General features: G+C 48.7%; 1 long non-coding RNA gene and 1 pseudogene across 25 annotated transcripts, besides 3 other annotated features; both read right to left on the reverse strand.

Annotated features, from left to right (window-relative positions):
* Positions 1-1,534: 1,534 nt before the first annotated feature.
* LOC101929638 (uncharacterized) lies at positions 1,535-27,104 on the reverse strand. 25 transcript variants are annotated; one of them, XR_001755477.2, is made up of 6 exons: positions 26,743-27,104; positions 26,432-26,593; positions 7,469-7,534; positions 6,242-6,471; positions 4,444-4,653; positions 1,535-1,935 (listed from the first exon to the last, which is right to left on the reverse strand). It is a non-coding gene; the product is annotated as an uncharacterized LOC101929638 (long non-coding RNA). The 25 variants fall into 25 exon arrangements; XR_001755476.2 differs by having other exon boundaries at positions 6,293-6,471; positions 7,469-7,537; XR_001755475.2 differs by having other exon boundaries at positions 7,469-7,537.
* RNU6-1219P (RNA, U6 small nuclear 1219, pseudogene) lies at positions 12,969-13,080 on the reverse strand (annotated as a pseudogene).
* Positions 16,743-17,581: a transcriptional cis regulatory region, noted in NCBI's record as "candidate enhancer chr22.1165 targeted for multiplex CRISPR interference". NCBI's record gives its function as "positively regulates EMID1 gene expression in K562 cells {active_cell/tissue: K562}" and the evidence as "EXISTENCE:mutant phenotype evidence [ECO:0000015][PMID:30612741]".
* Positions 18,393-18,687: an enhancer, noted in NCBI's record as "tiled region #4816; K562 Activating DNase matched - State 6:EnhF". NCBI's record gives its function as "activates a minimal TATA promoter and a strong SV40 promoter by Sharpr-MPRA in K562 cells {active_cell/tissue: K562}" and the evidence as "EXISTENCE:reporter gene assay evidence [ECO:0000049][PMID:27701403]".
* Positions 24,216-24,335: a silencer, noted in NCBI's record as "silent region_13584". NCBI's record gives its function as "represses an Ori minimal core promoter by ATAC-STARR-seq in GM12878 lymphoblastoid cells {active_cell/tissue: GM12878}" and the evidence as "EXISTENCE:reporter gene assay evidence [ECO:0000049][PMID:35858748]".
* Positions 27,105-27,132: the final 28 nt, after the last annotated feature.

Consider the following 27,132-nt stretch of genomic DNA (forward strand, 5'->3'; position numbering starts at 1 on the left):
ACCACATTCATATAACTTTTATTACAGTATATTGTTATAATTGTTCTATTTTATTATTAGTTATTGTTAATATCTTACTGTGCCTAATTTATAAATTAGGCTTTATCATAGGTATGTCTGTACAGGAAAAAACATAGTGTATATAGGGTTTGGTACTATCTGAGGTTTCAGGCATTCACTAGGGGTCTTGGAACACATCCCCCATGGATAAGGGAAGACAACTGTACATCACAACCAGTGGGATTTCTCCTAGGACTGCAAAGTGGCTTTAACACTGGAAAATCAATCAGTGTAATTCACTGTATTAACAGACTAAACAATTAAAATGATCAGATCATTTCATTAAAGGCAGAAAAAACATTTGGCAAAATCCAAGATTCGTTCCTGATTGTTAAAAAAAAAATTAAGCAAGCCAGGAATAGAAGGGAATCTTCTTACCTAATAAAAGGCATCTACCAAACAAAACCCTATAATGAACATTAGGGTTCATTAATGTTTTTCCCCTAAGATCATGAACAAGACAGGTCTGTCTACTCTCACCACTTCTATTCAACATTGTATTGGAGATTCTAGCCCATATAATCAGACAAGAAAAGGAAATAAAAAAAATTCAGATTTGATATAAAGAAGAAAAGTTGCCTTTATTTGCAAAAAAAAAAATGTTCATCTAAGTTAAAAATCTGATGGAATTTGCAAAAAAGCTGCTGGAACTAATAAATGAGTATAATAAGGTTGAAAGATACAAGATCAACATAAAAAATATATTACTAGCAAAAAACACCTGGACATTGAAATTTTAAAAAATACTATTTACGGTAGCATAAAAATATGAAATAGACTAAACAGAACAAAAAAGTATGTTAGGCCTATACAATTAAAGCTACAAAACAAGCTGGGCGTGGTGGCTCATGCCTGTAATCCCAGCACTTTGGGAGGCTGAGGCGGGCGGATCACGAGGTCAAGAGATCGAGACCATCCTGGCCAAGATGGTGAAACCCCGTCTCCACTAAAAATACAAAAATTAGCCGGGCATGGTGGCGCCTGCCTGTAATCCCAGCTACTCAGGAGGCTGAGGCAGGAGAACCGCGTGAACCTGGGAGGCTGAGGCAGGAGAACCGCGTGAACCCGGGAGGCAGAGGTTATAGTGAGCCAAAATCGTGCCACTGCACTCCAGCCTGGGTGACAGGGCAAGACTCCGTCTCAAAAAAAAAAAAAAAAAGCTACAAAATGTTTCTGAGAAAAAGCTCTAAAGGTCTAAATAAATGGAGAGGTATACCATGTTCATGGGTTGAGAGACTCGATACTGTCAATATGTCAATTCTTCCCAAATTAATCTACAAACTCAACATAATTTCAGTCAAAGTCTCAGCAGGCTTTTTTGGTAGAAATTTACAAGCTGATTACAAAATGTATTGGAAATGCAAAAGCTTAGAATAGTCAAAACAACTTTGAAAAAGAGGAACAAAATTAAAGGACTTAAATGACCTAACTTTAAAACTTATTACAAAGGCACAGCAATGAAGACAGTGTGGCATTGGTGTACAAATAGACAAGTAGTTTAATAAAGCAGAACAAAGAGTCTAGAAACAGACTCACAGATATATGGTCAATTTTCAACAAAGGTGCAAACTGGACATCATCAAAATTAACCTCTCTCTGCTCTTTGAAAGACGCTGTTGGCTGGGCACAGTGGCTCACGACTATAATGCCAGCACTTTGGGAGACTGAGATGGGTAGATTGCTTGTGCCCAGCAGCTCGAGACCAGCCTGGGCAACATGGCATAACCCCATCTCTACAAAAAATTAGCTGGGCATGGTGGCACACGCCTGTGGTCCTGGGAGGCTGAGGTGGGAGGATAGCCTGAACCCGGGAGGTTGAGGCTGCAGTGAGCCATGATCATGTCACTGTACTCCAGCCTGGTGATGAGCGAGACCCTGTCTCAAAAAGAAAAAGAAAGACACTGTTAAGAGAATAAAAAGACAAGTCACAGATTGAAAGAAGATATTCGTAAATCACATATCTGATTTAAAAAAGACTCATATCCAGAATATATAAAGAACTCTCAACGCTCAATAATACGAAAACAAAGAATTTTTAAGAGTGCCCATGGGGAACAAATAATTGAAACAGACACTTGATCAAAAAAACACGTACGGATGACAAATAAGCAGGTGAAAAGATGCTCCATAGCATCAATCATTAGGGAAATGCCAATTAAAATCACAGCGAGACTACTACGCATCTATTAGAATGGCTTAAATTTGAATAACTGGCAATACCAAGGGTTGGTGACGTTGTGGAGCAACTGGAGCTTTTAGGTACTGTTTTACAATCACTTTGAAAAACAGCTTGGGCTGTGCGCAGTGGTGCATGCCTGTAATCCCAGCACTTTGGGAAGCTGAGGCAGGTGGATCACACGAAGTCAGGAGTTCGAGACCAGCCTGACCAACATGGCCAAACCCCATCTCTACTAAAAATACAAAAATTAGCCAGGTGTGGTGTTGCATGCCTATAATTCCAGTTACTCAGGAGGCTGAGACAGGAGAATTGTTTGAACCCAGGAGGCAGAGGTTGCAGTGAGCCGAGATTGTAACATTGCACTTTAGCCTGGGCGACAGGGCGAGACTCCATCTCAAAAAAAAAAGAAGGAAAAGAAAAACAGCTTGGCAGTTTCTCTCATACTTCACATACAATTACCTTGAGACCCAGCAGGTCCACTCCTAGGTATCTAACCAAGATAAATGAACACATATGGCAATACAAAAATGTGTATGCAAATGTTCATAGCAGCATTATTTATAATAGCCCCAAACTGGTAACCAACTTAATGTCCATCAACAGGTGAGTGGACAAACAAGTTGTGAAACATACCTAGCAGGAAAAAGAAATGAACTAGTAATATGCACAATGACATGGGTGAAGCTTAAATTATTATGTTGCATAAAAGAAGCCAGACCAAAAAAGAGTACATACAGTATGATTTCATTTGTATAAAATTCTATAGGCCAGGTGAGGCGGCTCACGCCTGTAATCCCAGCACTTTGGGAGGTCAAGACAGGAGGATTGCTTGAGTCCAGGAGTTCGAGACCAGCCTGGGAAGCATAGGGAGACCCCATCTCTACAAAAAATAAAAAATAAAAATTAGCCAAGTGTGGCAGTGTGCATCTGTCTTCCCAGCTACTTTGGGAGGCTGGGGTGGGAGGATCGCTTGAGCCTGAGAGTTCAAGGCTGCAGTGAGCTATGATCATGCCACTACACTCCAGCCTGGGTAACAGAGTGAGACCCTGTCTCTTAAAAAGAAGAAAAATCCTAGAAAATGCAAAATAATCTATAGTGACAGAAAGCAGATCAGTGTTTGCCTGGGAATCAGGAGAGAGGTGGGTGACCAAGGGGAATGAGAAAACTTTTGGGGGTGGTGGATAGATTCACTGTCTTGATTGTGGAGATGATTTCCCAGGTGAAGACATGTCAAACTGGTGAAATTTTACACTCTGTAGTTTATTGTAACTACAGGCCAGGCACGGTGGCTCACACCTGTAATCCCAGCACTTTGGGAGGCAGGGGTGGGTGGACTGCTGAGCCCAGGAGTTCGAGACCAGCCTGGGCAACATGGGGAAACCCCATCTCTACTAAAAATACAAACAACAACAACAACAACAACAAACTAGCCAGGCACGGTGACACATGCCTGTGGTCCAAAGGATCACTTGAGCCTGGGAGGTCGAGACTGCAGTGAGCCATGATTGCACCATTGCACTTCAGCCTGGGTGGCAGAGTGAGACGGGGAGGGGAGGGGAGCCTTCTCTCCTGCCTTAAGAGGGGAGTCAGGATGCAAAGCCAGGTCATCTGACCCAGAGCCTATGTCCTTACCTGGCTGTCTCCTGCCTCCCAGTCTGCACCCAAGATGATCCCTTTGGGGCCCTAAATGGTGCTCAGATTCTCCTGGGAATATGTACAGGGCCTGGTGTATATGATCCTACATGAGGCTTTTTGTTTCTTTTGTTTTTGAGACAGGGTCTCACTCTGTTGCCCAGGCTGGGTGCAGTGGTGCAATTATAGCTCACTGCAGCCTCAAACTCCTGGGCTTAGGCAATCCTCCCACCTCACCCTCCTGAGTAGTTGTGACTATAAGCGCATACTAACACGTCACACTAATTAAAAAAAAAAATTGCAGAGATAGAATCTCGCTATGTTGCCCAGGCCAGTCTCAAACTCCTGGTCTCAAGCAATCCTCCCACCTTGGTTTCCCAAAGTGCTGGGATTACAGGCACACACCACCACACCTGGCCCCATATGAAGTATTTGTAAGACTTCACCTTCATCTGACTATGGTAGTGATAGTGACAATGGTGATGATGATTTTTCTTTTCTTGTTCCATGAGCCTCAATCACCGTCAGCTCCCTGAGAACAGCTCCTAGGTCCTATAATGGCATATTCCTACCTCAGGGCCTTTGTAGAGGTTGTTTCTTCACCCAGGGACACCTGGATCATCATACTTCATCAATTAATTGCTCTCATCCTTCAGCTTTCATCTTACAAGATTTTCTTTTCTTATGCTTGTAATCTCAGGGTTTTGAAAGGCCGAGACAGGAAGTTTGCTTGAGGCTAGGAGTTTGAGACCAGCCTGGGGCAACACGGCAAGCTCTTGTCCCTATTAAAAAAAAAAAAAATTAGCTGGGCATGGTGGTACACTCCTGTAATCCCAGTTACACAGGAGGCTGAGGCAGGGGGATCACTTAAACCCAGGAGTTCCAAGCTGCAGTGAGCTGTGATCATGCCACTGCACTGCAGCCTGAACAACAGAGTGAGAACTTGTCTCAAAATAATAATACTAATAAAAAGGCCAGGCGCGGTGGCTCACACCTGTAATCCCAGCACTTTGGGAGGCCAAGGCAGGCCAATCATGAGGTCAAGAGATTGAGACCATCCTGGCTAACACGGTGAAACCCCGTCTCTACTAAAAATACAAAAAATTAGCCAGGCGTGTTGGCGGGCGCCTGTAGTCCCAGCTACTCCGGAGGCTGAGGCAGGAGAATGGCATGAACCTGGGAGGCGGAGCTTGCAGTGAGCCGAGATCAGGCCCCTGCTCTCCAGCCTGGGAGACAGAGCGAGACTCCATCTCAAAAAATAAATAAATAAAAACATTTTATAAGATCTGTGGCCCTATCTGCCAGGCCCTGTCATCTAAATTAGGGCCCTATTGTCCTCTCTCTTTTTTTTTTTTTTTTAAGACAGGGTCTTGTTCTGTCACCCAGGCTGGAGTGCAAGGGTGCAATCACGGCTCACTGCAGCCTCAACCTCCCTGGCTCAAGCAATCCTCCTGCCTCAGCCTTCTGAGCAGCTGAGACCACAGGCATGCACCACCATACCCAGGTAATATTTTAATTTTTGCAGAGACAGGATCTCACTATGTTGCCCAGGCTGGACTTGAATTTCTGGCCTCAAGTGATCTTCCCGCCTTAGCCTCCCAAAGTGCTGGGATTACAAGTGTGCGTCACTGTGCCCAGCCTGTTATGTCCTTTCAGACACCCTGCCTCATTCCTTTTTACGACGTGCAGTCAAGCAGTTATCTGACCGTGGGTTTGTGTGTCTGTCTTTGAGGCTGGTCTTGCTGGCTCCTGCATTTCCAACACAGAACCTGAGCTTTGGCTCAGAGTAGGCGCTCTGTAAACACATGTGGGACGAGTGAGGACGTTCCCTGGACGATGCCTGGGGTGCCCAGGCCACAGAGCTGCCATTGAATCTCCTGGGGGTTAAGGTCCACCACGTTCCACTCAGCAGGAAAAATTCAGAGCTGACATTAATTCAGACCCCACATACGTGATTCTTACTGAGTTAGACACCAAGACAATCTCGCCTTTTGTTGGGGCTGTGGGAGCCTTACGTACGCCTAGAGAGAAGCCAGTCTAAAATCAGTCGCTTTTTGAAACCATCAGCTCGAGAAATTAAGGATTCTGTCAGCGTGCCCTGAATTTCTGGGCCCAGCAATTAATTCCTTCTAGATTAAAGGATTGTTGTGTTTCTGATACATTATTATGCGGAGTGGGCTTGCTGTGAATTTTAAAACTTTAACCAGAATCCTCATTAACTGGGACCTTTTATCTGTGTGCAACTTCTAGAAGAGGCCAGTGGCTAGAAAGTGAGCTGATGCATCCAAAAAACACATTCCGGGTGTCCTGTTGCATATTCAGTCCAGGCAGCTGTTCTCCTTTCTGATGGAAACAGGGCCATTTACTTACAATGTGCCTGGTGCCGGCTGTATGTTGTACATTGCGCCATTGAATCATCACCTGCTCGATCAGGCAGCCACCGTCATTATTAGCTCCAGCGTACAGGTGAAGAGACTGGGGTTGAGAGAGATGGGGTCCCTGCTCAAGCCAATGGGTGGCACAAGTCTGTCCGACCTCCAGGCCCCATGCTTGGCTCTCAGCTTCTGTTGCTTTCCCTTCTCCGTGGATGGTGAAGACCACTGTGCGGAAGGATGATCACAAGGCCCTTTGGGCCACCATCCAGCCAAGAGCTATTTCATCTGTGCTGGGCTTGAGGCTCTGCTGAGCCCGAGGGAGTAGGGAGGCCCAAGGGAGCAGACCCAGTCGTGTGTGAGGCTGACTCAGGGGCTAAGAGCTCCATCCTCTGGGAACACCCACGGGGTTCAGGGCCCAGGGAGGCCAGCCCCTGCTGTCTATCATGAGCAGGCTCTGTCCCCTCCCTAGCATCAGTCCTCCTCCTGCCATATGTCTGGGAACCTCAGCTTCTCTCAGGCAGAGTCCAGCCTAGCTGGAGTCTCACTTTGTTGCCCAGGCTAGAGTGCAGTGGTGCCATCTCGGCTCACTGCAACCTTCGTCTCCCAGGTTCAAGCAATTCTTCTGCCTCAGCCTCCCGAGTAGCTGGGACTACAGGTATGTGCCACCACGCCTGGCTAATTTTTGTATTTTTAGTTTTGCCATGTTGGCCAGGCTGGTCTTGAACTCCTGACCTCAAGTGATCCACCTGCCTCGGCCTCCCAAAGTGTTGGGATTACAGGCGTGAGCTATCGCACCTGGCCAGCCTGGCTGTCCTGATGGCAGAACCGGAGCCCAGATGCAGCCCTTTGAGGGAGAGACTTCCAGGCCCTATGTCAGATGCTTACTGAACATCTCCAAATGAGCCTGGGTCTCCCGGCATAGCAGCAACTTCCCACTTTGGTTTACACAGGTTTATATACACACAGTGTTTATGCACACAGCTACTTCCTCACCCCTGCGTGCCTGGAACCAGCGCTCCCCAGCCCAGTGTGCACCCCAGGCCAAGAGCCAGGCCATCACTCCCACAGTGGGCTTCCCCTAGGGCCCTGGGATCTTCTAGAAACCTTAGAAACTCAAAAGGAGTCAGGATTCCAGGAGTTCTGGCATCCCTAAGTAAAGTGCCCCTTTCGAGCTCCCCAGAGAAAGGAGCCAGGCAGCCCCGGAGAACAGTCCACTACTCACTGTTGGGGAGCGTGCGGAGAAATTCGAACGCTTGCGTGCTGCTGGTGGGAATGCAAAGTGGCACAGCTGCTGCGGAAAACAGATGGTGATGCCTCAAAAAATTAAACAGAATTATCCATGTGACCCAGCAATTCCACTTCCAGGTATGTACCCAAAAGAATTAAAAGGAGGGTCTCAAAGAGATCCCATGTTCATAGCAGTATTATTCATAATTGCTAAAATGTGGAGAAACTCACATATCCATCAATGGAAGAATGGATAAGCAAAATGAGGTCTGTCAATTCAATGGAATATTATTCAGCCCTGAAAAGGAAGGCAATTCTGACACAAGCTACAATGAGAATGAAGCTTGAGGACATTGTGCTGAGTAAATGAAGCCAGTCACAAAACAATAAATACTGTATGATTTCACTTATATGGCGTACCTAGAGTAGTCAAAATCATAGAGACAGAAAGTAGAATGGTGATGGCTGGGAAAAAGGGGTAATGGGGATTATTGTTTAATGAATACAGAGTTTCAGTTTTACAAGATGAAAAGGGTTCAGGAGATGGATGTTGGTGATGGTTACACAACACTACAAAGTTTAGTTAATTCCACTGAACTGTACCCTTAACAATGGCCAATTTTGCCGGGTGCGGTGGTGCAATTATGCCTGTAATCCCAGCACTTTAGGAGGCTGAGGAGTGGGGTGGGGGAATGGCTTGAGCCCAGAAGTTCGAGACCATCCTGGCCAACAAAGCGAAACCCCGTCTCTACAAAAAGATACGCTGTTTATGGTGGTGCATGCCCATAGTCCCAGCTACGTGGGAGGCTGAGGTGGGAGGATCGCTTGAACCCAGGAGATCGAGGTGGCAGTGAGATATGATCACACCCCTGCACTCCAGCAGGGGTGACAGAGTGAGACCCCGTCTCCCAAAAAAAAAAAAAGGTAAATTTTGTTATATTTTGTAATGAATAGAATGGTAAAATTCCACTTAAATGGGGTACTTAGAGTCGTCAACATTGTAGAGACAAGTAGAATGAGGGATGGGGGAATGAGGAGTCAGTGTTGAACCAATACAGTTTCATTTGCGGAAGATGAAGAAGTTCTGGACGGGGGTGATAGTTGCACAACAATGTGAATGTACTGAACTGTATGCTTTAAAATGCTTTAAATTGGTTAAAATAAGCAAAATGGTCAGTTTTCCAGCCTGGACAACATGGAAACTCCATCTCAACAAAAAAATAGAAAAATTAGCCAAGCATGGTAGCACATGCCTGTAGCCCCAGCTACCCTGGAGGCCGGGGAGGTTAAGGCTGCACTGAGCTATGATCACCACACTGCACTCCACTCTGGGTGACACAGTGAGACCCTGTCTCAAAAAAAAAAAAAAAAAGTCAATTTTACATTATTTATGTTACCAGAATTTGTAAAAAAAAAAAGAAAAAGAAAAGAAAAGAAATCTGAAGTTCCCTTTCATTAAGCAGCCTGCTATTCTCATGATCCTAGTAAATCCTGGTGGCGACATTTCAAGGTGCATTCTGGGATTGTCCTCAGTTTTCAGGTGAGAAGGCCAAGAGAGAGAGGTGACATGAGCAGCCTGAGGTCACCCAGCGAGTGGCAGGGCCAGGATTCCACCCAGGACCGCTGACTGCACCCAGCCACAGAGGGAGTGGCCCCCTTCCCTGACGGCTCCCCCAAAATCCCACTCAGATTCTCCTGGCAGGGGCCAGCAAACAGGATCCAGATGGCGGTTCACCCAGTTAGGACAGGGCCTAACTTGAAACCGCTCTGCCAGGATTTCCAAATGCATCCCAGATTTCTGTCCTGGAAGCATCTGGTGCCCTCCTGCTGGGGCAGTGGGGGGCCGAGGAGCAGCCAGGCCTGGCCATGGGCCTGGGCAGTGACTGGGGGCTGGCGGGGCTTGGCACTGGCCTCGAGTCCATCTCCTTGGAGCCTTTGGGGGATCCTGCCGGCCCTAGAAGGCCCATTTTGCTCTGACAGTGGATTTGTCTTATTCCCACCTCTGCAACAAAGCCCCACAACCTGCCTGGCTTAAACAACAGACACTTATTGTCTCACTATTTTGGTGCTGGAAATCTGAAATCAAAGTGTGGGCAGGGCTGGTTCCTTCTGAGGCTGAGAGGGAGAATCTGTTCCAGGCCCCTCTCCTGGCTTCGGGTAGCCTCCGGCGCTCTTTGGCTTGTTGGTGGCCATCTTCTCTCTGTGTCTTAACATCATCTGCCTCTGTGAGCGTCTGTCTCTGTGTCCCATTTCCCCTTTATATAAAGACACAGCCACATTGGATTAGGGCCCACCCTCGAGATCTCATCTCAACATATCATCTGCAAACTCCCCATTTCCAAAGAAGGTCCCATTCACGGATCCTAGGGGTTAGGACTTCAACATCTTTTGGGGTGGTGGGGGGGACATAATTCAAACCATAACACCATCCCACAATGCTGTTACTCTTCTCAGCTGCCCAGGAGGCCAGTGGGGAACATTCTGGGGATTGGAGATGTTTGCAAACTGAAATGGCATTTCACATAGTCTCTACGGTTTTATGAATTGTTACCTGTTGCCACCACATACTGAGTGCTTGCTTGCTGTGTGCCGGGCACTCAACATAACTCCCCAGTCCTCAGCTGCAGGGTGGCTGCTATCATCCCATTATACAGGTGAGCCATTGAGGCTCACCTGGGAGGAGTCACTCGCTCAGAGACTCAAGGCTGATTATTCCCATCTGTGGGATTCATCCCACCACCTGTCTGAGCAGAGGCCCTGAGGTTTCTGTAACTCCTCCTATTCCTGAACACATTCCCCATTCCCATCCTGTGTTCCTTCCTTTGACCCCAAACAACTTGAAGTTGGAGGAATTAAGTGCAAATGATTGCAGTTGGGAGTAAAAGACAGCGTCTGGGAATTCAGGCAGAAAAGGTGTGTGAGGGGGAGGCCTCCCTCCCTCCTTTTCTCCCTCCCTCCTTTCTTTTTTCTTGTCTTTTTTTCACATTCAAACAGAACTTCAGATTTTAGAGGTGAGAAAGGGCCAGGTGACGTGGCTCATGCCTGTAATCCCAACACTCTGAGAGTCCAAGGTGGGAGGATCCCTTGAGGCCAGGAGTTCGAGACCAGCCTGGGCAACATACCAAGACTTCATCTCTACAAAAACGAGATTTAAAAAAATTAGTCAGGCATGGTGGCACATGCCTGTGGTCCTAGCTACCCAGGAGGCTGAGGCAGGAGGATTGCTTGAGCCCAGCAGACAGGACTGTGGTGAGCTATGGTTATGCTGCTGCACTCCAGCCTAGGTGACAGAGCAAGACTTTGTCTCTAGAAAAAAAAAAAAAAATTATTTTTAAAGGTGAGAAAAAAGTGTTCCCCAAGACTATGAGGAAGGAAGATGGGAAGAGGTGGAAAGTGAAGAGTAAGATTCAGGCTCATCTGACCCTTATGCCCTCCTCCCACCCTCAGAAACGCTGCCATTCTAGTCGGGCATGTTCGCGTGTGCCTGTAGTCCCAGCTACTCAGGAGGCTGAGGCAGGAGAATTGCTTGAACCCAGGAGGCAGAGGTTGCAGAGTCGAGATCGTGCCACTGCACTCCAGCCTGGGCAACAGAGCAAGACTCCGTCTCAAAAAAAAAAAAAAAAAAAAAAGAACACTGCCATTCTACAGGGAGCAAGATAGACACGAGCTATGTAGCCCTGCCCAGGCTGAGCTCCCAGTCCAGAGAGTGCATCCAGGTGAACCCCACCACTATAACCTGCTGCTATAGCCCCCAAGGGGCCCCTAACATCTCAGTTTGTGAAGAGAGGTTTGGGGTTGGGGTAGGGCACCTAAACTGAGACTTGCGGGTAAGCAAAAGGCACCCAGGTGAAGCCTGGAGGAGGAGTGCCGGGTGGAAGGAACAGGGAGATCAACATGGAGGAACTCTGGAGGCAAGAGAAAGCTTGGAGCCCTTTAGGAACCGGGGAAAAGGTCAGTGTGGTGGGAACAGGGTGCCTGAGATGCCAGCAGGGCCGGGCAATGGAGCTTTGCAGGTCAAGCGTGAGCTGCTTCCAGATGCCCTGGGAGCCACTGTGAGACTCCAAGTAGCAGGGTACGTGGGTCTGGCCTCCTCTGGCTGCAAGGGCTGGAGACCGAGGACGCCTAGAGACCAGGGCAGGGTGACCCAGCTTGAACAATGGAGGTTGGGGTAGGGAGGTGCAGTGGGTTGAATGGTGGCCCCCACCAAAACATAGGTCCATGTCCAGGAACCTGCGAAGGTGCCCTTATTTGGAAAAGGGTCTGTGTAGCTGTAATTGAGAGTTTTTAGTGCCCAGGTGCAGTGGCTCACACCTGATATCCCAGCATTTTGGGAGACCGAGGCAGAAAGATCACATGAGGCCGGGAGTTTAAGACCAGCCTGGGCAACAAAGAGAGGCCCCATCTCTACAAAAAATTGAGAAACTAGCTGGATGTGGTGGCAGGTGCCTGTAGTCCCAGCTACTCAGGAGGCTGAGGCAGGAGGATCACTTCAACCCGGAGTTCCAGGCTGCAGTGAGCTATGATTGCACCACTGCACTCCAGCCTGGGCAACAGAGTGAGACTCCATTTCAAAAAAAAATTAGCTGGGCGTGGTGGCGGGCACGTGTAATCCCAGCACTCGGGAGGCTGAGGCAGGAGAATCACTAGAACCCAGGAGGTGGAGGTTACAGTGAGCCAAGATCATGCCATTGCACTCCAGTCTGGGCAACAAGAGCAAAATGCCGTCTAAAAAAAAAAAAACCATATACCCATTTGCAGTGATTCCCCATTCTCCTGCAGCCCCCACCCCACCACCAGCTCCTGGCAACCACTTTCTGTCTCTGTAGATTTTCCTATTCTGGGTATTTCACGTAAATGGAATCATACACCATGTGGCCTTTTGCGGCTGGCTTCTTTCACGGAGCATAATGCTGTCAAGCATGTTGCAGCATGTGTCAGCGCTTCATTCCTTCCAAACAATATTCCATTGCGTGGATGGACCACATGTTGTCTGTTCAATTCATCTGTCGACGCGCATTTGGGTCGTTGCTGCTTTTTAGTTCTTACAGATAATGCTGCTGTGAACACTCAGGTGCAAGTTTTTGTGTGACCCTATTTCCATTTCTCTTGGTTAGATACCTAAGAGTGGTGAATGTGGTTTTATTAAATTCTTTTATTAAAAACTTTTTTTTCTTTAACAGGGCCTCACTCTGTCGCCCAGTCTGGAGTGCAGTGGTGTGATCTTGGCTTACTGCAACCTCTGCCTCCTGAGTTCGAGTGATTGTCCTGCCTCAGCCTCCCAAGTAGCTGGGATTACAGGCACGGGCCACCATGCCTGGCTAATTGTTGTATTTTAGTAGAGACGGGATTTCACCATGTTGGCCAGGCTGGTCTCAAACTCCTGACCTCAGGTGACCCGCCTGCTTCGGCCTCGCAAAATGCTGGGATTACAGGTGTGAGCCACCACGCCCAGCCAGTGAATGTGTTTTTTAAATTAAAAATAACATATGTTCTTTTTTTACGTATAATTTCTTTTTATGTTTAAGTATCTTTCAGTTTGTTAAAGGGCCATGCTAATCTGCTCTGTGTTGTTCCAATTTTTAGTATATGTGCCGCCAAAGCCAGCACGTGTGTACTTAATTACAAAAGTGATTCGTTAGAGATCACCAAAGTAACAAATTGGAAACCAGAAAATGTTTCTCACCTTTAGAATCTGTTCTGTTTGAATGTGTATGTGTGGCTTTATTGACACATAATTCAAATACTGTACAAGGCCAGGCATAGTGGCTCATGCCTGTAATCCCAGCACTTTTGGTAGCTAAGGTGGGAGGATCGCTTGAGCCCAGGAGTTCAAGACCAGTCTGGGCAGCATAGGCAGACCTCGTCTCTACAAAACAAAAATTTTTTTTTGTTAGCCAGGTGTGGTGGTGCACACCTGTTGTCCTAGTTGAGGATGAGGCAGGAGGATCGCTTGAGCTTCGGAAGTCAAGGCTGCAGTGAGCCAAGATTGTGCCACTGCACTCCAGCCTGGGTAAAAAAGCAAGACCCTGTCTCAAAAAAATAAAAATATTAAAAATGTTTAAAAAGAAGATATTGAGGCCGGGCATGGTGGCTTAAGCCTGTAATCCCAGCACTTTGGGAGGCTGAGGTGGGCAGATCACCTGAGGTCAGGAGTTCGAGACCAGCCTGGCCAACATGGCGAAACCCCATCTCTACTAAAAAAATACAAAAATTAGCCAGGCATGGTGGTGCGCACCTGTAATCCCAGCTACTCGGGAGGCTGAAGTGGGAGAATTGCTTGAACCCAGGAGGCGGAGGTTGCAGTGAGCCAAGATCACGCCACTGCACGCCAGCCTGGGTGACAGAGCGAGACTCCGTCTCAAAAAAAAAAAAAGATATTGAAAGATATTGACACACCCATAATGTCCCCAAAGATATCTGGTGTGTCCCGCCCTGCAGATGTGCGTTTGCTAATGCTTACGTTCACGGCATGTGACACAGCAATCGTGTGGAAGGAAACTATGACAACTCCTGCCCTGTGCAGAAGGCAGCCTGTGTCAGGCCCCTCTGATCCCACATGTGCCCATCAGTAATGACCCATTCAGTGCAGATTAGACATAAAACCAGCTTTGACTTCAAAGGACCAAGCAGCTAAGAGTAAGAGAAAGAAGGAGGATTTTCAGCTCCCTGGGGATGGGGAAAGATATTCAAAGGGCTGGAACCTCTCTTTCTTTGGCAAAAAAGAAGGCCAAAAAAAAACCTTCCAAAGGAAAAAAAAAAAAAAACCTCTGGGGAATCGTTTTATTAAGATGGATGGATTATGGGTGATTTATTTTCTTTTTAAAAAAAGTGCTTTAATGATATTATATTGCTATTATAATATTTTACTACTAAAAAAGATTCTACGAAGCCTCTTAGGATTATGGATGAAAAAGAATGATTTTATAAAACTCAGCAATTCTTAAGAAGAGTACAGCCAAAAAAGCTTTCTCACTCCTTTATAGTTTCTTCCAATAACTGGCTCACCAAGTCAGAGGCTGAGCAGGCAGACAGCCGCAGACCTAAGGGAAGCTATGACCATCTCATCTGCAAGAATGAGAGTGGCCAGGTGCGGTGGCTCACGCTTGTAATCCCAGCACTTTGGGAGGCCAAGGCAGGCGGATCACGAGGTCAGGAGATCAAGACAACCCTGGCCAACACGGTGAAACCCGGTCTCTGCTAAAAATACAAAAAAAAAAGTTAGCTGGGCATGGTGGTGGGTGCCTGTAGTCCCAGCTACTTGGGAGGCTGAGGCAGGAGAATGGTGTGAACCCGGGAGGCAGAGCTTGCAGTGAGCCGGGATCGCACCACTGCACTCCAGCCTGGGCGACAAAGCGAGACTCCGTCTCAAAAAAAAAAAAAAAAAAAGAATGAGAGTGACTTAGAGCACATAGGAAAAAGCAGGTAAGAAAAGGCATAAAAGGTTTCTCTCTTTAAAATCATTGTTAAAAAAAATCAGGAATTCTTGATCATTCATGATTAGTAAGAAAGGCTGCACCTAAATATATTTTTTTTTATTTTATATTATAAAGACAAGGTCCTGCTCTGTCATCCAGGCTGGAGTGCAGTGGTATGATCATGGCTCACTGTCACCTCGAACTACTGGACTCAAGTGATCCTCCTGCCTCAGTAGCTGGGACTACAGGCCACCATGCCTGGCTCAATTTTAAATGTTTTTTAGGGCTGGGGTCTTGCTACATTGCCCAGGCTGGTCTCAAACTCCTGAGCTCAAGTGATCCTCCCATCTCAGCCTCCCAAAGTGCTGGGATTACAGGTGTGAGCCACCACCCCCCTGGCCAGTGTTTGCCTTTTAAAATATCTCTCTGTGTAAGTATCCAATCTCAAATTATATTTTCTCTATTGCAAAAATGATTCGTACAAGCATCCCTCCTTACACAGTGATTGATAGTTCTATTATGTAGGCTCAAGTGTTTTAAAAAGAGTTCCACTTATTCTAAAAAGTACTATGAAATAGAAAAACATACTTATCTACTCAGAAGCACAGTCTAGAGGTAGCAGAATGCCTGGCACAGAATCTACTTTCCACTCCTTCACCCAGTACAGACATGGTGAACTGATTACAGCACTCTTCTCCACTAATCTAAAGACTCTCTAGCCTCTCTATCCCTTTTTGTTCTTCTAAAAGGCAACTTGTAGGAGTGGATCAGAGCTGGCATCCAGAAGGGTGTGTGTTGGGTGGGGCGGGGGGGGGTGGGGGCGGAAATCTCATCTCTGTGCAGGCACAAAACTAAGATGCCTCCCAGTGGTGGAGCTTTCTAATTGCAGGCATAGTACTTAGAGGACCAAAGCAAGACAAAAGGGCAGTAAATGAATGAATAATTCAGTCTAGTCTTCTGTAAATACATCCCTCCTAGAGAAGAGTTTTGAATTTTAACATGAGTTTTCTTTGCTTTAGGGATTTTAAGACTGGCTTATAGAAGCATTTCAGGTGACAGTTGGTAGCAAAGGGCCTTTAGAAAACCTCAGATTCTGGTTGGGCATGGTGGCTCACGCCTGTTATCCCAGAACTTTGGGAGGCCGAGGTGGATGGATCACTTGAGGTCAGGAGTTTGTGACCAGCCTGGCAAACTTGGCAAAACCCCGCCTCTACAAAAATACAAAAATTAGCTAGGCATAATGGTGGGTGCCTGTAATCCCAGATACTCAGGAGGCTGAGGCAGGAGAATCACTTGAACCCAAGAGGCAGAGGTTGCAGTGAGCCGAGATTGCACCACTGCACTCCAGCCTGGGTGACAGAGTGAGACTCCGTCTCAAAAAAAAAAAAAAAGAAAAAAAGAAAAGAAAACCTCAGATTATTTTCCCAATGTCCTCTTTGCCAAAGGCTGACCCTTCTTGCTGCTTCTTGCTGTCCCAAGCCTTGCATCCCCAGCCTGCTCAGATTCCTCACTCTGCAGTCTACATGCAACATGCTTTGGATATAACCTATGTACTATTTCTTGATCAGTCTGTGCCAGGCACTGGGCAAAGAAATCCACGTGCCTCATTTAGATGCTCCTCGTAACAACTTGCCCTGAGACAAGTACCCTATCCCCATTTTCCAGGTGAACACACTGAGGCTCAGAAAGGGGAAGCAATTTGGCCAAGGTTACTCAGTGTCTCACTCAGGAACAGGCAGGATTGAAACATTTTCCTGGCCAACCTGGGCCTACAGGCCCCACAACGTTAGCCCCATGTTGGGCCCCTCTTTGACACCAGGCCACCCTTCTCTTGCCAGAGGAGTCCCAGGTCAGCTGTGCCCCTGGGAATGTCCCACCAGGGCTGGGCATAGTCAGCCCAGATGGGCCAAGGGCTGCCTGTCAGGAGGGAAAGGGGACGGTGTAGGGTCCCAGGGCCAATTCTGGACCTGCACTATGCTGGTGACTGCCCTAGGGTTCTGCAGCCAGAGTTTGAATATGGATGCTGCTAGCTGTGCAACAGTTTGCCACCCTCCCTGGCCTCCCTTTCCTGTGCCAGATCCCTCCTCTGGGGGCAGCTGTGATAATGCGTGCAGTCACATAGATAAAGGCTCGAGGCTGACAAGTGGAAAGCAGGTCAGTGGTCGCCCCTTTATCTCTGTTTCTAACACTGTCTCCTTCTGTGTGTGTGTGTGTGTGTGTGTGTGTCTCCCTATACTACTGTCTGTCTTTCTGTCTTTCCCTCCCCCTCTCTTCCTTTTCCTCCCTCCGAGGGGTCAAGGGAGGACACAGGACACAGCCAACTTTGGCTTTGTGAGGCCCCAACTTGCAGACGTAGGGCAGGCCGGGGGTGGGGGGAAACCTGGCTGCCCACCAGCCCACCTCCTGAGACAGGCCCTTCCCTCTGGTCAGGCCCCTATCTCCCCTACTCACCGCCCTGAATAGCCTCCACTCAGGTGTGTCCCGAGCAACTGGGAGCCCTGGGCCATGCCTGCTGAGGACAAGGACACTGGGTCCCTCCTGGGAGAGCACGGAGGGGTCATCTCCCTTAGGAGCCACCCTCACAGCTTCCCGGGGCTGGGGCTGGGGCCCGATTCAGAGGAGCTCCTGAATCAGCCCTGTCACTTGTGGTTCCTCTGCCCCATCTTTCTTCCTGGAGGTGGAAACCTACATGGAAACCTCCACACAGCACTCAGGAACACTCCCCGGCTGCAGACAGCAGCTCCTGGAGCCTGGAATGGCAAGGGCTGCTGTTTTACAACAAACCACACACACACACCACAGACACACACACACACACACAGATACACAGACACACACACACAGACACACACACAGACATATACACAGACACACAAACACATATACAGACAGACACACATGCAGGTACACACACACAGACACATAGACACACACTTCATTTTTAGGGCAAAGGGTGCCTATGCCATGCATACTTTTTGGCGCTAAATTTTTTTCAAACAGCGCAAAGGGATTCATAATGAAAACTAATACCTTAGGCCCAGGTGGGCAGATCACTTGAGGTCAGGATTTGGAGACCAGCCTGGTCAACATGGTGAAACCCTGTCTCTACTAAAAATACAAAAATTAGCCCGGCACAGTGGCGTGCCCCTGTAGTCCCAGCTACTCAGGAGGCTGAGGCAGGAGAATTGCTTGAACTTGGGAGACAGAGGTTGCAGTGAGCCGAGATTGTGCCACTGCAGTCCAGCCTGGGTGACAGAGCAAGACTTCAACTCAAGAAGAAAAAAAAAAAACAAACCTAACACCCTCGGTCCCTCAGTTCACCTTTCTGAAGGCAGTCAGTTTCTTGTGAATCCTTCCAGAGAAAGTGAATGCATAATTCAAATATTAATATTGATGAGTATATATTCCTGCAATTTTCCCCTAAATGGCAGCATCCTTTACTTACAGCTATACTAACTTTCTTCATTTAACAGGTGATCTTGGAAACTAGTTCCATATCAAAACACTTAGCTCTGCCTCATCTTTATGTACATATAATTCACATGTCAAAACATTTACCCTTTAATGTGTACAATTCAGTGGTTTTTAGTATAGTCAGAGCTGTGCAACTGTCACCACTACCTGATTGCAGGACACTTTCATCACCCTAAAAAGAAATCCCACACCCATGAGTGGACACCCCCGCATCCCTTGCCCTCAGTCCCTGGCAACCGCTAATCTGTCTTCTGTGTCTATGGATTTGCCTAGTGTGGGTTTCTCTTATAAATACAATATATGGCCTTTCATGTCTGGCTTCTTTCACTTCACGTAATGTTTCCAAGTTTCCTCCATGTTGTAGCTTTGTATCAGTGCTTTGTTCCTTTATTTATGGTGAATATTCTATTGTACACATATACTACATTTTGTTTAGCCCCTCTTTCTTTTTAACAGCAATGTAGTATTCCACTGATGGATGTATTTAATTTTTTTTTTTTTTATTAGACAGTAGTCTCACTCTGTCACTCAGGCTGGAGTGCAGTGTTGCAATCATAGCTCACTGCAGCCCCGACCGCCTGGGCTCAAGCAATCCTCCCACCTCAGCCCCCCGAGTAGCTGGGACTACAGGCACGTGCCACCATGCCCAGCTAATTTTTGTATTTTTTGTAGAGATGGGATCTCGCTATGTTGCCCAGGCTGATGTACCTTAATTCACCCATCTCCTGCAATGGGCGTTTAGGTTGCTTCCAGTCTTTTGCTACTGCAGATATTGCTGCAGTTAATTTCCTTGTGTTCTTTGCAAATATACCTGTAAGAAACTTCCTCGATGTAAAATTGCTGGGTCAAAAGGGTATACATCTTTCAGTTTTATATATTTACCAACTGTGCTCCAAAGAGGGCACATACGAAGGCGACATTTTCCCCATACCCTTGCCAACCCATTTTATCAAAAATGTTAAGTCCTTACCATCAGCTTTGCATTGTGATTTTCATTTGAATTCTTTTTTTTTCTCTTACTCTTTCTTCTTCTTCTTTTTTTTAAGAAACGATCTTGCTCAGGTGTGCACCATCACAACCAGCTAATTTTTAAATTTTTTGTAGAGATAGGGGTCTTGCTATCTTGCCCAGGCTGGTCTTGAACTCCTGGTCTCAAGTAATCATCCTGCCATGGCCTGCCAAAGTGCTGGGATCATAAGTGTGAGCCACCACACGTAAGCACATTGCTTTTCTTTTGAGTGAAGCCTTTTCATTCTGAGTTAGTCGTCTGTTCACAAATTTTATTCATTTATTAAGTCATTGATCAAATGTTATTGATTTGTAAAAGCTCTTTATATGTGGAGAAAATTAGCCTTTTTATCTAATTTAGACATTGCAAAAATTTCCACAATTAATCATATTACAGTTGGCATTTGAACAATATGGGGATTAAGGCACTGATCCCCCTCATGCACACTCAAAAATGTGCACATAACTTTTGACTCCCGAAAAACTTTACCACTAACAGCGTACTGCTGACCGGGAGCTTACTGATCACATAAACAGTCCATAAGGCTGGGCGCTGTGGCTCACACCTGTAATCCCAGCACTTTGGGAGGCCGAGGCAGGTGGATCACCTGAGGTCGGGAGTTCAAGATCAGCCTGACCAACATGGAGAAACCCTGTCTCTACTAAAAATACAAAATTAGCTGGGTGTGGTGGCACATGCCTGTAATCCCAGCTACTTGGGAGGCTGAGGCAGGAGAATTGCTTGAACCTGGGAGGCAGAAGTTGCAGTGAGCCAAGATCACGCCATTACACTCCAGCTGGGGCAACAAGAGTGAAACTCTATCTCAAAAAAAAAAAAAATTAACACATATTTTATATGTTATTATATACTGTATTCTCACAATAAAGTAGGCTAGAGGAAAGAAAATGTGGGTAGGTGTGGTGGCTCCTGCCTGTAATCCTAGCACTTTGGGAGGCTGAGGTGGAAGGATCATTTGAGTCCAGGAGTTCAAGACCAGCCTGGGCAACATAGCGAGACCCCAACTCTTAAAAATATGAAAAAAAAATTTTAAAAAGAATGTTATTAAGAAAATCATAAAGAAGAAAAAATATATTTGCTATTTATTAAGTGGAAGTGGATCATCATAAAGGTCTTCATCCTTGTCTTCATGATGAGTAGGCTGAGGAGGAGGAAGAGGAAGAGGAGTGGGTGGTCTTGCTATCTCAGGGGTGACGGGGCTGAAGAAAATCCGCATATAAAGGGATCCATCAGTTTAAACCCATGTTGTTCAAGAGTCAGCTGTGTTTTTGTTCTATACAGAAATTGTGGCCTGGCACAGTGGCTCACAGTGTAATCCCAGCACTTTGGTAAGCCGAGGTGGGTGAATCACCTGAGGTCAGGAGTTCAAGACTGGCCTGGCCAACATGGCGAAACCCTGTCTCTACTAAAAATACAAAAATTAGCCAGGCGTGGTCATGCATGTCTGTAATCCCAGCTACTCAGGAGGCTGAGTCAGGAGAATCGCTTGAACCCAGGAGGTGGAGGTTGCAGTGAGCCAAGATTATGCCACTGTCCTCCAGCACTCCAACCTGGGTGACAGAGAAAGACTTTGTCTCAAAAACAACAACAACAACAAAAACAGAAATTGTTACGCACCCAGATGTATCTTGTACAGCTTCTGGAGTTGTATGTGCCCTAGAACTCTTAGAAAGGTTATAAAAAGGGCTCAGCATCTGTGCCTATTTATGATCCATCAGGGGAACCACACAAATCAACAGATGTCCCCAGCCCAGAACGCTGTGAGTGGTGAACCCCAGTGGACACATGACCCAGTGTTGGGGGTGTGAAACATCCTTCTAGGGGTGGAGTGGGGGTGATGTCTGAGCTGAGACTGGATGGTGAGCTCAGGCAGGGTGAGTGGGTATTGGCAGGCAGAGGGACAGGGCAGGAAAACCCGCAGACAGACGGAGAGCACAGGATGGGCTAGGGAACTGAGACATCCCCTAGCCCACCCTGGGTGTGGGGGTCTGTCCCAGGGTCTGGGGACAGTGGGAGGACAAGCAAGCTGGGCCACCTTCAGTTCTCAGCCTGAGGGGGACAGGGAGACTGGAAGGTTTTCTTCGCAGGGTTGCTTGGCTCCATTTGCCTTTGGGAAGATTCTGCAGGACTGAAAGTATCAGAGGAGACAAGAGGCCATCGAGGAGACCGATGCCACATCCCATAAGGGGGTGGAGGCTGGATGGGATGGAGCCAAGGAATGGACACAGGGAAAGAGGACCCAGACTTAGCCCTGCAAGGCTGACCGGATGGTGGGGCAGGGACAATCTATAGTCAGGTCCCCCTCCCCCTATATAGCTGTCCATCCACCTAAGACTCCCAGGACCAAGCCTCAGGTGAGGAATCCATTCCCCCTGGGCCCAAGGGCTCTGTCTAATGGGGCTTCCCAAGCATGATGTATTCCAGCCCCAAGCAGCCCAGAGCCCACAGGCAGCCATTACCAGATGCATGGGTGGGTGATGGAGGAAGGAGAGGCTTCCCACCCTTGGCATGGGATGGGGGTCTGAGGGAGGCCAGAGTCTGTGAGGTGCTGAGAACAAATGAGGCTCAGGATGGTGGGGGGGTGGTGCCCCGGTCCTGCCCCCTCTGCCAGGCTCCTATGGGAGCCGAGACCAACCACCTAGGACCCTCTTCCAAAAGAGTCCCTCTTTCTAAGTCTGTCTGTCTCTTTTTCTGTCTCTCTGTCTTTCCATCTGTCTCCTTCTATGAAAGATGAAGACATCTCTCTAGATCACTTTGTCTCCCTCTCTCTCTGGCTACCTGGCACACTCTCCTGAGAGTCACTCACTATATCTCTCTGTCTCTGTCTCTGACTTCTCCTCTGTCCCCACCACTCTCATTCTCCTCCTGCTTCTCAGCACCACCACTACCTCCCCATTCATCCTGGAGCTGTCAGGTGGGGCGGGCCCACATGCTCATGACCCGGCAGGTGCCACCCGGGACTGGCAGGGCTGGTGGGCTGCTCCAGGGCCTCTGCTCTGAGGGGCTTCTCTGGTCTGCCCTTCCCTCCTGCCAGATCCGTCCAACCACATGGACTCACAGCTGCCACTTCAGATGCATCCAGCCGGGAGTGGGCTTCACCTCGCTGGGGTGGGAGATGGACAGCTTCCCATACAGAAGGTCTTAGGCCACGTTCCTAGGCTGTGGTCACCAAACATTTCCCTCACCAGCCTAGAAGTTCCACTACCAACGATTTAGGGTTTAAATGGCAGGAAGCCCTGTTAACTCCCCCTCCTCCCAACATTAAACATTAAACACATCAGTCATTCACACTCTAGTAGGAATGAGCCAAGAGCTCTTCCCTCTACCCCCTAGTTGGGTGGATGCTGCATATGGAGATACTGTTCATCCATTTTTGCAAGAGGAGATGAAAGAGAAGCAGAGGAAGGGACCTGAGAGAAGGCAAGTAGGGCAGAGGTGGGGGGTCAGAAAGGGGAGGATTTAGGAGAAATTGCCAGAGGAGGGGAAGGGGGAACAAACGTTGCTAAGGAGAAAGCCTCTCATTTGTCCATTCCTGCAGTCAACAAAGCACAGTTGCAGGAAAGTCCCCGAGTCCTCACACCCCCATTTTCCAGATGCAGAAACCGAAGCTCGGAGAGAAGGGACTCTCTAGATCACATAGAACATCCAGGTCTCCTCACTCCAACAAGAGGTACCCTGTCCTGCCATGCTCGCTTATGTCCGGCCCTGTCATTCTGTTGTCGTCCCCCTGTACCCCCCTCAAAGATGCAAAACGGGAGATTCCAGAGGACAGGAAGGCCCTCCCAAGCCCTAATTTATGATTTTCTGACAGCTTCCTTCCTCCCACTACTCCCTTCCAGCCCCAGTCCCAGCTCTCTGGGGAAAGAATGAGCTGGGTGAATGAGAAGGGCAGCTCCATGGAGCATAAATAACTCGGCTGGGCAGCTGCAGGCTGCCTAGGTCTCCCAGCGCCCCGACCCTGGCCCTGCAGGGTGCTTCCATCTCTGAGAGCCAGGGACAGGAGGGCCAAACCCCCTGATCAAAAGTGCAGAGAGCAGCCATTGCTCTTGGGCCCTGTCCTTTGTCTGGTCAGCAGCTTTTAAGGCTGTGGCTTACACGGTCCCTTCCCTTTCATGGTGTCCAGGCACTGCTTGGCAATTAGGCCTGGGCCCCTGGGGGCTGCGGCCATGGGCTCTGGGCACCCCTTGGGCTGCTTCCTCACCTATGGAACAGGCACGATATGGGAAGAGTGCCTGGGCTCACACGAGCTAATGTGTGCACAGGGCTGATATGACGGGGCACACCCAAGCTGGAGAGACAGTCCTGTAGGACACAGCGGGAGGAAAGAGTCCCTTAGCTACGGCCCCCAGAGACTTCACAGGGGAAGGAGGCTGCCGCCCAGGTTGTTTGTTAAGAGGATAAAACATTTCCTGTTTGGACTAGGCCAGGGTGGATGCGTCAGTGAATCTGCCCCAGAGGGGCTGTGTTTCCCGGATCCCATGGCCTGCCCTGGGAGGGTGTCTGTGTGTGTCCCTGTGTGGTCCATCTGGGTGTGGGTCCAGGTCTGGGTATGTGTCCACACATTCTCTCTGGCCTCATCAGCCCCAAGATGGGACTCCAAATGTGAGCCAAGTTATCTCTTACCCCAAAGAAGACCTGCTTCAGGGCTCAGCCAGTGGGTGGCAGTGTGGTCTGGTGGGTAAACTCATAGACAGCTGCCCATCACTCACTAGCCGTGAGCCCCACACCTGGGGACAATAAGGCTTCCTCCTGGGTGGCAGAGAGGATCGCAGCAGACAATACAAGCAAAACGCTTAGCACAGCGCCTGGCGCACAGTCAGCATGGGGAACGGAAGCTGCTGTCGTTACTGGCGGTTGTGGTCTCGTCTTGGCAGTGGAAAGGACCAGGCCCCCAGGGGGGAGGCCCCGCCCGCAGGGACAGGCCCTGAGACCTCAAGCTAGCCGGCCCCTCTCCTCTCAGTTTCAGCAAACATTGAAACCTCAAATAATCAAAACCCCAGGCCCCCACGGCATTTCCTGCCTTTCCACTCAACTAGGAAAGAGGACCAGAAAGCCGGCTGTCATCCAACAGGAAAGTGAGCCCTTAAACGGGGGCTTCAGCTGTGCCCCAGGGCCACTGAAGGGGAGACCTGACGTTTTCACACTTTCCCAGAAGCTCAGACTCTTGAGCCAGAGGGACCTTAAAAGTCCTATGTGGGAGGGTTGCTTGAAGCCAGGAGTTCGAGACCAGCCTGAGCAACAGAGCAAGACCCTGTGTCTACAAAAAATATTAAAAATGAGCCAGATGTGCTGTCATACACCTGTAGTCCTAGCTAATCAGGAGGCTGAGGCAGGAGAATCGCTTGAGCCCAGGAGGTTGAGGCTGCAGTGAGCGGAAATGGCACCACTGCACTCCAGCCTGGGTGACAGTGTGAGACCCTGTCTCAAAAAAAAAAAAAAAAAAAAAAAAAGAAGATCCCATGGCTTGTTTTTTCAGGCAAAGAAATGAAGCTCAGAGAGGGGAAGTGACTTGTCTTGGGTCACACAGCTCCCAGAGGTTGCTCTGGAATTGACACCCTGGCCTATGGGTCACATGGCTTGTGGGGTGTATCCATCAGGCCACACAGCCACAAGGTGATAAATAGTGATAAATAAATCTATATTTATTTATCCGGGTCTACAGTGATAAATAAATACCCTGGACCCGGGAATCCCAGCCTCAGTAAGGACAGGCCCCTCTCTGATGTGAAAATGTTGATAACAGCTTTTACCAGGAGAGTCTCTTGCTGGGGAAATTCTGCAGCGGCCTGAGTCTGCCACAAGTTTGATGGCATTGGTTAAGAAATGTGGATGCCATTAATCGCAGGAGCATCTCAGACATGTTGCAAACAGACCTAGTAGTGCCTCCTCATTCTGTGGCACCCATCTGACACCCTAGACACCTCTCAGTCCCTCCAAGGCATTATCCAGTGCTTCTCCTTCCTAAACAGCTGCATGTTTGAGCTTCCTAAACAGCTCAAAGCACCCCTGGGGTGATGGGTTTTTATCTGGGCCGCTTGATTGGGGTTTCAGACAGGCCTGGCATCCTCTTGGGGGCATGGCTCCTCAGGAGTGACGAATTATCCAGGGTGTTAAGTCACTGATCTAGCTGTGTCAAAAACAAGGGCTAACCAGAGAGGTACAAAGCTGCATTTCTTGGAGGTCAGAGAGATGGCACAGGAGATGTGCCAAAATTTCACGTGAAAAGGAGGGCAACAGCTCCCCAAGGGGGCAACATTGGCACCATGGTGATGTCGCTGGAGGGAGAGGGAGCCCTTGGGGGACTATGTGAAGTAGGGGAGAGTGGGTGACAGGCCATTACCATGATATCTCAATCCTTCCCACACTCCTGTAACGAATGTACAACTGTCCTCCCTGCAAAAGAAACACTGAGGCTGCGAGAGGGGCAAGACTTGCCTGAGCTAACTGGAGCAGAAGTAGCAGAGGCAGGGTTTGAACCCAGCTCTCACTACCTGTCCCTTGGGACAGGGCAACAGCTTTCTCTATGTGGACACACTGGTGATGGATCCCCCGTCCTGCCTGCCTGCCTGCCTATGGTGGCCTATGCTGCCTGCCCCTGGTGAGTCCAGGAGGGGCAATCCAGTGACTGGCAGATCCTTTCTGGGGAGTGTTTCTAGAAGGGACCGTGGGTCTGGACAAGCCATAACAGGAAGTAGCCAAGCTGGGCAAGGGCTTCCCCAGCCCAGGCCTAACTACTGCCCATCGATCCAGGCAGAAGGCGGGGTTAGAGACTGCCCTGGGAGATTGGGGGTCTGGGTCCCCTCTGATGAGAGCTCTGGTCTCTCCCTATAAACACACACTCCTATCACAGACACACACATAACACACATGCACATAAATCCACATCAAGCATGCACACACATCCATCATACACACATACGACACACACATGCACCCCTGCACACACACACTACGCTTACATATACCTTTGTGGGATGTAGAGCCATTCCTCCAGAAGCCCATCCATGTACCCCAGATGAAACCACCCAACACCAATTCTTACCTTGTTACATATGGTGAAATCAAGGCATAGACCGAAGTGCTGTGGTTAAGAGCTGTTACTCTCCGAAGTCAGGCGATCTGGGTACAAATCCTGGCTCTGCCAAACCCCTGCCACGGTGCTTTAGGTAAATGACAGCTCCTTTCTGTGGCTTAGTTTCTCCACCTGTAAAATGAGAATAAGAACAGACTCTGCACTTATGGGGTCAGCCCAGATCTCCTCCTAGGGAGACTGCGAGTGCCTGGGCCTCAGTTTTCTCTTCTGTAAAATGGGGATATTGTGCCCAGTTCGAGCAGAGTGGCTTGAAGAGTCACCTGAGATAGGATGTGAAGTGGCCGCGGTGAGGTGCCCAATACACGTGGCGCGCACTGCTCAGGAAGCTTTCCTTGGAGGGCTGGATCCCGCAAAGGTGTCGAAAAAGGATGAGTCCCGGATATCATTCGCTCAGGTGAGGTGGGTTCGGGTCCCGGCTGCGTCTGGGACCGTGGCCCGGGCCTCAGTTTCCCAGTCTACAGCCCGTGGGAGGACACCTCGGAGCTGGCACCCCGCCCCCAAAAGGGCCCCGCGGCGCAGGGCGTGGGGCTCAGGTGGACACCTGGCGGGCCTCCTGGCGGGGGCGCCCTGGCCGCCCGGGCCCCTCCGGGCTCCTTCCGGGTTGGCAGCGGCGGCGCAGGGGGCGGGGGGCAGCGCAGAGGGGCCGGGCG

The sequence above is a fragment of the Homo sapiens genome, chromosome 22 (assembly GCF_000001405.40).
Source record: "Homo sapiens chromosome 22, GRCh38.p14 Primary Assembly".
Lineage (NCBI taxonomy): Eukaryota > Metazoa > Chordata > Mammalia > Primates > Hominidae > Homo > Homo sapiens.